The sequence below is a fragment of the Homo sapiens genome, chromosome 7 (assembly GCF_000001405.40).
Source record: "Homo sapiens chromosome 7, GRCh38.p14 Primary Assembly".
Taxonomy (NCBI): domain Eukaryota; kingdom Metazoa; phylum Chordata; class Mammalia; order Primates; family Hominidae; genus Homo; species Homo sapiens.
Window position 1 is genome coordinate 143,129,569 of NC_000007.14, and position 12,224 is coordinate 143,141,792.

At 43.2% G+C, this 12,224-nt stretch overlaps 1 protein-coding gene across 1 annotated transcript; it reads left to right on the plus strand.

Annotated features, from left to right (window-relative positions):
- Window positions 1-2,508: 2,508 nt before the first annotated feature.
- Window positions 2,509-10,171, plus strand: PIP (prolactin induced protein). The gene is made up of 4 exons (NM_002652.3): window positions 2,509-2,643; window positions 5,626-5,731; window positions 9,507-9,621; window positions 9,950-10,171. The coding sequence occupies exons 1-4, from the start codon at window positions 2,549-2,551 to the stop codon at window positions 10,072-10,074; spliced, it is 441 nt and encodes a 146-aa protein (NP_002643.1). The 5' UTR covers window positions 2,509-2,548; the 3' UTR covers window positions 10,075-10,171.
- The last annotated feature ends 2,053 nt before the right edge of the window (window positions 10,172-12,224 follow it).

The window sequence follows — 12,224 nt, forward strand, 5'->3', positions numbered from 1 at the left end:
TGTGTTGGTGTCTATAACTCCCTCTCTGTCCACTCCTTATCTTCTTCTCATGAGCCCTGTCAGGACTAAGATTATCTTTCTCTTTGTAAACTTAGCCTGTGGCAAGCCTCACCTATATTCTAACTCTTTCCCTATGGGACTATACACATTCTCTTCTGTAAGCTTCCTGAGTTGTTTACAATCTGATTTTATCAACCTTTATCTGATTTCTTAAACCTAGACTTGTTCATTCTTTATGGCATAATAATTATGGTTTCTTTTTCTCCCTAATCTTCTTCCTCAAGGGACCTCAAGCTTTTCTCTTAAGACTTTCAACTGATCCAATGAGTCTGACCCATATTATGGAGGTAATCTGTTTTACTCAAATTTTACTGATTTAAATGTTAATCACATTTAAAACAAACAAACAAACAACAACTTCACAGCAACTTCTAAACTGTTGTTTTTCCAAAAAGTGGGCACCATGCCTAGCTAAGCTAACAAATAAAAGTAACCATCACAGCAGTCATGGCCTGAATAAGACTTGTCCTAGGCCAGGCACAGTGGCTCACACCTGTAATCCCAGCAATTTGGGAGGCCGAGGCAGGTGGATCACTTGAGGTCAGGAATGTAAGATCAGCTTGGCCAACATGGTGAAACCCCATCTCTACCAAAAATACAAAAATTAGCCGGGTATGGTGGCACCTGCCTATAATCCCCACTACTCGGGTGGCTGAGGCATGAGAATTTCCTGAACCCGGGAGGTGGAGGCTGCAGTGAGCTGAGATCATGCCACTGCACTCCAGCCTGGATGAGTGAGATTCTGTCTCAAAAAAAAAAGATTGTCCTGTACATTGTAGGTATTGCAGTTTCCTGCTAGCTCACAGAAGAACAGCCTCATTACCTTCAATAGATGCTCTTAACCCATCGTCATCTGCCTTCCTCTGGACACTGCCTTTTGGGAGTGCTGGAGTTGCATCCTCAAGGACAGGGCTATGCCTTCAAAGAGCCAAGCAAAGAACTTTTCCTGCATTTTCCCACACAGACACTTCCTAGATTCTTCTGCCTTATGCCTGCCTTGGTCAGTGTAGCTAGGATGTGCTTCAAATGGAAATTATGCAAGTGAGAAGGACCAGGTGTAAAGACAATTTAATTGTGGGAAAAGGCTTACAAAGGAAGGTCATTGTGACCCTCACAAGCAGTGTTCTTGAGTGGATAGGACATAAACAGGGAAGAAAGCATGTGATCATGAGAACAGCTGAAGTTCTGAGTGAGCAATGACATGAATGGTGTCCAATTCAAAGAAAAGAGAAGGTAGATCCAGGAGCTGAATAAACAGACAGAGCAATTTTGAGAGATACATCCAGAAAGCAGAAGCACACACTTACACTTTAGCTCTGAATCCTGGCTAAAGCAACATACAGAGGCGGTAACTCCTAGAACTCTGATTTTCACTCTGTTGCCAGAGAGGCTCTTCCTGGGCAGCTGTGTGCCATGCAAATGATAGAAACAAATCCCATAGTATTGTAAGTCATAGGTTAAGGAGCAGATTTAATTTCATAAGGAGAAATAACACAATGCCAGTGTCAGCAAGAGCAAGTCTCCCCATCATCCCAAGGAGAGGAATTCTACAACCTGGGTATCTACTGGACATAATGTGGGCTCCATTCTCACAGAAGGAATCCTTTCCACTGTGGTTCTTCCTGTGTGGCTTACGCATGAGACAAGTGTAAGAAAGTGGCCATGTCAATAAGAAAATAAGCCAGCTCTTTGGTGCCAAGAAGTCTGATTTGGGGGTGCCAGCTATTTATAGGAATTGTCTAGAATTAAAATATCACCCTGCCTTGGGGATTGTGGGGCAGCTGGGGATCTTGGACATCTGCAGTATATTGCAACCACACCTGAAATTAAGAAGGACTCAATGACAATAAACATCTTTACATCACCCAGTGTCTTGAACTCACTTCCCCATCATGTAGAGCAGCTCAGGTCTTCTCTAGCTCTTCCACCTCATGATGGGTAGTGACTGCTAGGGAAGTCCTGATCATCCTAGCCCTCCAAGAAATGTTTTGAATAGCATTGCATCTTGAACTCACTATAATTTGATCAAGCAAAGATGTTCTATGTCTCTGGTCTGAAACCTGCCACCACAGCTGTGTTCTCTGCTTTCAGAGACCAGGGGAGCAGTGACTGAAGCTAAGACTACACATAGCACTTCAGACAGGCAAATTAGGAGGGAAAAGAAAACTGAATCTGTAAACTCGGGAAAAACTGGTGTATCTTTTGAGGTCCCAGCCATTTTGAGAAACTCTGATGCTGAAAAAATAAGGAAGAACAATCTGACTCCTCTCTCAAACGCTGACATTCTAGCTGAGTGTTGATTTTTTCTTAGAAAAACAAACTTTGGGTCAACAAGGAAAGATCACGAGTGGGGAGGGTGAATGGGTGATTCACCTCATGGATCTCCCTGGCAGCTCTTGCACTTCCTTGATCAATCTGTATATAAGAAATGTGCTGGGCACCTGGGACACCACTTCTCTGGGACACATTGCCTTCTGTTTTCTCCAGCATGCGCTTGCTCCAGCTCCTGTTCAGGGCCAGCCCTGCCACCCTGCTCCTGGTTCTCTGCCTGCAGTTGGGGGCCAACAAAGCTCAGGACAACACGTGAGCCATGCCCTTCTCCTCCCCACAAAAAAAATTGCAGGGAGGGCTCCTCTCCCAGTCTGGAAATTACATATCTCTTTCTGAGAATTTCTTTCAACTTCCCAGAACTCTAGTCCCAGGAGCTCCCATGGATCTCCTGCCAGGTTCCACTTCTTGTCCTCTTAGGAAGCCCCACCAACTCCTCTCACATTTTTGCTGGGTGTTTCTGCATTGCCAGTGGAAATAAAGCTCCAAATGTACCTACAGGCTGTAATTAGTAGTTAGTCTTCATCTAACATGCTGATCCACATCTTGTTCATAATTTATACCTTTGTTCAGATTTCTGCTCAGTAAACTTTACCTTCTCACACCTTGCCTCCTAGAAGAGAAGCATAACAGGTCTGTGAATTCCAATGGCAGCTTAGGGCAGCTTTGGCAGGACTGGCTAAAGGACCAGAGGCCCTGGCCACTGCCCTGTGGTCTGAGATTGAGCTAGACTGGCAGCTTAGACATTCTTCCTAACCTGAAGTCTGAAGATGAATATGATGACCTCTTGCTCTCACGTATACTGGGACCTGAGAGCACAGGTTCAGAAGTCAACTTATTGAGAACACATGTGTGAAGGAAGCAGAAAAATTGGAGCAAGTAAAATAAAGTAGAAAATGGAGCCAAGGGTCTGGGAGAAAGCAGCGATACCCAATCTAGGGAGTTTTCTCTATAGCAGTAGGGTTTATAATGCTGGGTTTCTGGGTTGTGATCTTGGAGGTACTCTCTATGGCATGGTCAGATATCCTGTCCTGGAGGAAACTGTTCAGGGTTTTGACAAGCTAATGTAATGGAGGCAAGTGTCCCAAGAAACCCTGCATGGGGACAGGTTCAGATCCCACCCCATTCCCGCCAGATGACAGTCCACTTAGCCCTGAAGGGCAGCAAGGTATTCAAATAAGCTATGCTAATTAGGTTATCAACCATCCATCCTGATTTGCCCAGAACTTTCCTGGTTGTAGCACTGCAACTCTGCCCTCCCCCGCCACCTCCACAACCCATTCTGGAAAAGACCTCAGTCCTGGGTAAACTGAGATGGTTAGTCACTCGAACTAAGCTGGTCATCCTATCAATCTGAAACTCATATACAAATGGGAGAGATTTTGAAGTTGCTTAGGTATTTATACCCTTTTCCTGTGCACTGGGCACTACAGCAGTTGGCACCAAAAAATAGAATCTCTCTAAGATGCTTTGCCCCAAGAAAATGGGGCTGTGAGACACTGTGGGCTAAGAATCTCAATTCCCTTCTGTCCCACACAATAACAAAGGTCCGTAGCCGGGAGTTTCTAGGGACGAGAAAATAACTCTCCTGGCCCCGAACCCAGTCCTCATTGACTGAAGAAGAACATTTGACCATTTTATTTGTCTCCATTTCCTTTCCTTTTCAGATTGCAGTGTATGGTCTAAATGTAGAGTAGTATCTAAAGTTCCCAAACATGGCCATATGTCCAAATTTCCTAAGGAGCTAAATAAATACAAATTCCTAAACCCTACCTGGGGACCACAGAAGGAGGATCTTCAAAGATGCTCCTACAAATACCTCCAGTGCATTGAGATGTTTGCTGGGTTTTTAAAATTTTTTATTATTTTATTTTATTTTTCCATAAGTTACTGGGGTACAAGTGGTATTTGGTTACATGAGTAAGTTCTTTAGTGGTGATGAGATTTTGGTGCACCCATCACCCGAGCAGTATACACTGCACCATATTTGTAGTCTTTTAGCCCTCACCCCTCTCCCACTCTTCCCCGCAAGTCCCCAAAGTCCATTGTATCATTCTTATGCTTTTGAGTCCTCAAAGCTTAGCTCCCACATATCAGTGAGAACATACGATGTTTGGTTTTCCATTACTGAGTTACTTCACTTAGAATAATAGTCTCCAATCTCATACAGGTCACTGCAAATGCTGTTAATTCATTCCTTATTATGGCTGAGTAGTAGTATTCCATCATATATATATATATATATATATATATATATATATATATATATATATATATACCACAGTTTCTTTATCCACTCGTTGATTGATGGGCATTTGGGTTGGTTCCACAGTTTTATAATTGTGAATTGTGCTGCTATAAACATGTGTGTGCAAGTATCTTTTTTGAATAATGACTTCTTTTCCTCTGGGTAGATACCCAGTAGTGGGATTGCTGGATCAAATGGTGGTTCTATTTTTAGTTCTTTAAGGAATCTCCACACTGTTTTACATAGTGGTTGTAGCAGTTTACATTCCCGTCAGCAGTATAGAAGTGTCCCCTGATCACTGCATCCACGCCAACATCTACTGTTTTATGATTTTTTGATTACGGCCATTCTTGCAGGAGTAAGGTGGTATCGCATTGTGGTTTTGATTTGCATTTCCCTGATCAAGAGGTTTGCTGGTTTAATGTGATTCTGTTGCTAGAAAATTTTCTCCTAATAATGACTTGAGCCCTCCTACTCAGTAGACAACCACCAGAGCCTGTAGGATGTTATCAGGAAGTGGCATGTGGTATTGTACATTTTTTCTTTTTAAAAACTTGTTTTTGGTCAATGGAAGGGAAGAAGATGCTCGTTCATTGATGGGCATTTGGGTTGGTTCCATGATTTTGCAATTGTGAATTGTGCTACTATAAACATGCATGTGCAAGTATCTTTTCTAAATAATGACTTCTTTTCCTCTGGGTAGATACCCAGTAGTGGGATTGCTGGATCAAATGGTAGTTCTACTTTTAGTTCTTTAAGGAATCTTAAAGTGTCCTAGTTGTTTTATTAAACAAAATTAAATCTGTGTGAAGTTACCAATCCAATCAACACATGAAAATTCCAGGGGATTCCAATGCTGAACAATTGATCCAAGCCCCATAATTTCCCTCCCTTGCCCATCCTGTGCCCCTTGCCCTGTTCATGGCTCCCCCCTCACTCAAAGATTGGTCTCTGATCCTGGTGTTCTGATTCTCTCTTCCCACAATCAGTCGGAAGATCATAATAAAGAATTTTGACATTCCCAAGTCAGTACGTCCAAATGACGAAGTCACTGCAGTGCTTGCAGTTCAAACAGAATTGAAAGAATGCATGGTGGTAAGTAGAGGACTGGGGGCGTGACTTCAAAAGATAATTCAACTCCTTGATTATAAACATAATTTAATCTCTCACTTTAATAATGTACAGTGTACTTAATGAAACATTCTCACTTATGTTATGCTACTTGAGACTCAGAACAACTGTGGGAGCTTGGGACAGATGACTTCTCATTTTCCAGATGAAGAAGTTCGAATCCAGAGAAGTCTAGGATAAATAAGAAGGAAAGGAAGAAGGAATAGGAAGTGAGAAAGAGGGAAAAAGAAAAAAGTGTAAGAGCTAGTAGAGAAGCAGTTAGAGTCCTTCCAAGGTCCTGAGCATGTTTAGTTTAGGATGGAGGGAGGGGAGTTCTCAGAAGAGAAAGCAGCAACTCCACACCATAGGTTGAGGTGGGTGGGCAGAAGAGGACATGCAGGATATGACTCCTCCTCTCCAGTAAGCACTGAGCGACTCTACTGTCCTCTTGCCTTCTTCTGCTCCTTTGCTCTGGGTCACCAGAAGTGGACTCTTGTTCCAGCCTCCCCACCCTGACAAGGAGCTCGTAATCATCTCCTCCTTTTCCCCACGTTCAGAAGTCCAATCTCTGAACAAGGTCAGAGGTTTTCAAATGGTAATGTGTCTAAAACTCACTCGGGGATCTTGTTAAAATTCAGAGTTTCATTCAGCAGGTCTGGGGAGAGATTAGAACTTCTGGATTTTAACAGACGCCCAAGGTACACCAAGGCTGTGCCCAAAGGATCACATTTTTGAGCAGCTTGGGATTAGAGCATTATCCCTCCTGTCTAGCTGCCAAGGGCCAGAAGTCAAATAGACTTATGCAGTTATTAATCCACAGTGACTCTTCCCTGGGACACTGGTTGTGTGTCCTTTTCCTAGTCATTGATCTCAGATGTCACAAGCATGCAAACTGCCCCCACTACCTTTGTTCTAGGGCCAAGACCCATGCATCTCCCATCTCCCCTACTCCCTCCCCAGACCCTTCATGAAGGACACCTTCTATCAGGCAGCACAAGTATTTCCTTACAACATAAGTTTCCTAATTCAAATGAGACTTAAGGACAATGATTACATGTAAAACAACATTGAGAACATGAAGATTGCTATTCAGTCAACTGCATTCTAGAAATATCCCCACACCTGTAAAGAAAAATTCCTGGTCAATGAGCAAAGAATATCACAGCTGCTTTGTCAAATTTTTCTATTTTCAGTCCAAGAATCTGAGACATGTACACTAATTTGGGGTAGGAGCAAGGCTGAATCATAATTTTTCAACTCTGTATTTTGTTTATCACAAACACAGGTGAGAATGAGAATAAGAACATGTACATAATGTGTACATAAAATTTTTGTGAAAATGGTGGTTTCTGGTGGTAATAGTTAATGGTAGTGGTAGGTATAATAAGATATGTTTGAATCAATAAAATTACATGTGACATAATTTTGTGCTTTTGTGATTAATAAAAGTATGCTTTTAAGAATCATGCTAGTACTCTAAAATAAAGCAATCTTTTCAAAACCCACCTAAGCACAACTAAAAGAATAAGAAATCTTTAGACTAACTGACTTTGCAAACTAGAAATAATTTACAGGAAAGGAAATTTTGTTAATTCTAGTCAACAAATTTTTATTTGTGGCTTCATTTTTCAAAGTATAACTATTTTTAAATTTTTATTAAAATATATTTATATAACTATAAAATTCTTACCATCTAATCCTCATTTTTTATCATTTATAATGTTTTCTGTAACTGAATTTTTGAAAAAGTGAGGTTTAGACTCATATTTATTTATTTTAGAATTAGAATAGAATATACCTACAATCGTATATTTGAATATAAAGATTGCATAATCCTTTAAAGCTGAAGGAAACTTGTGGCAAAAACAATGCTTAAACATTTTTGTGCTACAGGCCATTTCGTTGGTTTCATGAAGTTTATGAAACATTTATCAGAAAATTGCTTCTAAATGTATAAAGTGCATTGGATTACAGAGAGAAACTACCACATTGAGTAACAGTGACTAACTTGTAAAAAATAAATTTGTGATGCAGTAAGGTATGTGTTTCTTTATGCACACATTAGCTGGGAAAGCAATACATTTAAAATATAGAAGAGTTGAATTTTATTCTATGAACACATTATCTGTGTGATGGATGTTGTTACTTAGCTTGAAGAAGTACATTAAACTGCACTGGTCTTTGGCAACACGTCCCACGTGCCATGCTAGGCATGCAACGGATTCTGATCTTTTATTGTACAAGTGGTGTAAATTCTGATTCATGACGATATGTTGTTGCTAATGTAACAGAAAGGTAAACAAGGCCGGGCACAGTGGCTTGTGCCTGTAATCCCAGCACTTTGGGAGGCCAAAGTGGGCAGATCACCTGAGGTCAGGAGTTCGAGACCAGCTTGGCCAACATGGTGAAACCCTGTCTCTACTAAAAATACAAAAATTAGCCAGGGCTGGTAGCACGCACCTGTAATCCCAGCTACTCAGGAGGCTGAGGCAGAAGAATCACTTGAACCTGGGAGGCGGAGGTTGCAGTGAGCCACGTTCGCACCATTGCACTCCAGCCTGGGCAACAGAGTGAGACTCTGTCTCTTAGAAAAAAAAAAAAAAGGGAAACAAGGCACAGGTAGTCTTCTCCAAAGAAACGCCAGGATTCTCCAAGGCATTCTGAGTAAAACTCCAAGGGTGAGAACACCTGAATTTACTGTTTAGGTCTGAACGGCTACTTGATGCTGAGTTGCCAGGTAGCTGAGCAAGCTGCAGGAGGTGGGCAGAATGGCACTGGGCCTCAGTCGTGACCATGAGCCAGTCTGATAACTGCCATACATTCAAGGTAGTACATTCAGGCTGTATTTCGGACCTCTGGATCCGTGCAATGATATGTACATATCTACTTTTCTCCTTGTGATAAAATCACACATACTGCTAATGGCACTGTGGTTCCTTGATGACATTCATAACAGAAGGAATGCTGAATTTCAATTAGAGGTTAGTAATAAAGATGCATATTTTTCCCCTGCCTGAGTCCACAGACTCACTGAATGCTATCCACAGATCCCTCTGGGTCTATGGACCCCAGGATAAAACTGCTGTGTTAAACGTTAACTGGACAAAATCCTCTGACTCCACTGAAATTTATATATACAATAATCTGGGATCTTGAATTGCAAAGCACTCAAGTTAAAAAGAAATTTACATTCAAGATGTTATTTGCTTATCTAACAGCCAGGTTTGGTAGTTAATTGTTTCCACCTCATACCTGAGGAAAGTGAGAGTGAGAGGCCTCTCATCACCAAAGGTCACCAAGTCAGAGAGGAGCACAGATGGGGCTTGGTCACAGCTCTGACAACAAGGCCTGACATTGGCTCCTACACGCAAGTGGCCAGGCTGCTGTCTCACCAGGTCTCAGAGTAAACGTGATTGCAGGTCGATTCCTGAAACCTCTGGCTGGTGACTAAGGCAAGCCTGCTCCTCAGCTGGACAGCTGCCCTGGATGAGCTCTCCTTGCCCTGTGGATTCACTTGCATCCCTATCTCCTCCTGAGCTTCTCCACACTGCTAAGGCAGGAGTTTGAGGGCATTGGAAGGGAAAACCTTCTGACCTAGACTTTGGCTCCTGAAATGATACTACAACAGTAGACTCCCCCTTGCCCTAGGCCCACCTCCACCCCCACTCTTCTCCTCCGGCTTTTCCCTCTCCTATTTTTCCCTCCCTTACCCATTCCCCAAAATAACAATGAATTCCCCCTCCCACCTTCTCCTCACCAGGTTAAAACTTACCTCATTAGCAGCATCCCTCTACAAGGTGCATTTAACTATAAGTATACTGCCTGCCTATGTGACGACAATCCAAAAACCTTCTACTGGGACTTTTACACCAACAGTAAGTACAGAAGTTGTCCAAGGAGGGAACTACCCACCAGCCACCAGGGAGGAGAAACTATAAACAGAAACATGGCTGCGAACCGAGCAGGACCAGGACCTCAGGGCAGAAGGACAGAAGGGAGGGAGGGAAGAGCATGGGGAGAGCAGATGGGGAAAGCACCCAGGTTCTAAGACAGAGGCATTGAGTGCAAAAAGTTGATACAGGAGACAAATTTGCAAAGGATTTGGGGAAACTGAACCCCAGGGGGCAGATGCCTGATATGAGTAGAAAAGACAGGACATGGCCGGGGTGTCTGAGAGATGATCTCCGTCCCTGTCTTTTTCAGGAACTGTGCAAATTGCAGCCGTCGTTGATGTTATTCGGGAATTAGGCATCTGCCCTGATGATGCTGCTGTAATCCCCATCAAAAACAACCGGTTTTATACTATTGAAATCCTAAAGGTAGAATAATGGAAGCCCTGTCTGTTTGCCACACCCAGGTGATTTCCTCTAAAGAAACTTGGCTGGAATTTCTGCTGTGGTCTATAAAATAAACTTCTTAACATGCTTCTCCATGTTCTGTTGTATCTCCAAAATCTGCTCCTGAAGAACCCCAGATTACCTGAAATTTCTAGAACATTTGTCTTTCAAAGAACCTTTACTGAGGAGATTGTACGGGTTCTCACTGCCCATTGGTATGAAGAGGGAGAGAAGAAGAAACTGGGAAGAGGAGCTATGCTCACAGAGAGGAAAAGCAGTGGCCCTAAAGTTCACGGCACAGGAGTGGCAGAGCCAGGGCAGGCACCAAGCCTCCCTGTTGCTTGACCTCTCTCCATCCCACTGCCCTCCAGCAACAGCTCAGATCCCAGAAGACAGGAGTCCTGTTGCATGCAGCAGAGTCAGGGATGGAGTCCATGGCCCCCTAAATGAGCAGTAGCATTCTATGCTATTCTGTTGCTTGTTTTCAATGGATTGTGACACTCAGGGATATCAGGGTCCTGTGCAGCTCTGCCTGAGGAGCTCAGGCATAATAGAGGAGTAAAGGGGCAGAGGGAGCCCTGAGGGGCTTCATCCCAGAGGGCCAGCCCATAGAAGTGGAATATGAGCAAGGATCAGGTGCACGAAGTGGGCAGAGGGCATTCTAGTAGATAGGACGCAGGCACCAAGAGCCCAAAGCATGAAATAGTGGCTTGCTCAGGGCAGGTAAACACTTTCATATTGGGCAGGATTAAGTATACATGGAAGAGTTAGAAGCAGATCTGGCAAGAGGACAGGAGCAAAATCAGGAGAGGCCGAGTGAATCTGGGCAAGAAAGTGGGACCATATCCCCTAGGCCAGTGATCCTAAATGAGAATCAAAATCCAGGGCGGAAAATACAGTCATTGGAAAAGATCATTTTTTATATTAATTAGGATTGTAACATTGTGAAACAGGAGAGTTACCTGACCTCCCTCGCAGAACATGCAACAGGGGTGTCACTCATCTGTTCAGCTGCTCAAACCCCTTAGAGGAGGAGGAGCACGCAGACGGACAGGTGCAGGAGGGCAAGTGGGAGTGTGTTAAAATGCGCTCTTTTAGCCTTGCTGTCTACGGACAGTTTAAGTGTTAACCAGCTCAGTGGACCCTCTGCCTTTTTGCAAAGGCAGAGGGCTACTGTGACAGCTTTCTGCATCCCAAGTTCTTGTCCAGCATCCCGGAAGAATTGGGTCACACATGAACTGGAAGGATGGTGAATGCAGGGTTTTATTGGGTGGTGGAGGTGGCTCTCAGTGGGATGGATGGGGAGCCGGCCAGGGAATGGAGTAGGAAGATGATCTTCCCCTGGAGTTTGGCTGTCCAGTGGCTGATTCTCCGTCCATCCCCAGCCGAACTCCTCCTTACATTCAGACACTCCTTCCCTTCTCTCCTTCTCTGCTGCGCTATTCTGCCATTTGTCTCCTCATCTGCTCATCTCCTTCTGGAGCCTGGGGTTCAGGGTTTATATGGATACCAGATGGGGGCATGGCGGGCCAAAAGGCAATTTTTTAGGCGCAAAAACAGGAATGCCTGTTCTCATTTAGGGCCGCAGGTTTCCAGGTTTGAGGGTGGGGCCTTTGCCAGGGAACAGCCCTCTTCTACCCAGTATTTCTCTGTCTCCTGTCCATATCAATTGATTATATGCTTAACAGGTACCAAAAATGTGAATAATTTTATTTACATGCTTTATCACATGCCCTATTTAAAACAATAACAGACATTAAATATTTATTCACTCAATAAATATTTATCAAGTACCTACATGTGCCATTACCTGCTTTCAGCACTTGGTTTTACATAAGTAAATCAGGAATTTTTTATCCTGTTCTTAAAATGCTTATATTGTTCCCAGGCAATAGAAAATAAACATGTACATGTTATTCTTACCTTTATTTATGGGAAAACTGAGATAAGAGAAGGTAATTAATTTGCACATAGCCAGCAAGTGACAGAGCCAAGATTCGAACCACACAGGTAGCCTGGAGAGACATGCTCCTAACTTCTTTTTATTTTTGTTTTTTTTTTTTTTTTTGAGACGGAGTCTTGCACTGTCACCCAGACTGGAGTGCAGTGGCGCGATCTCGGCTCACTGCAAGCTCCGCCTC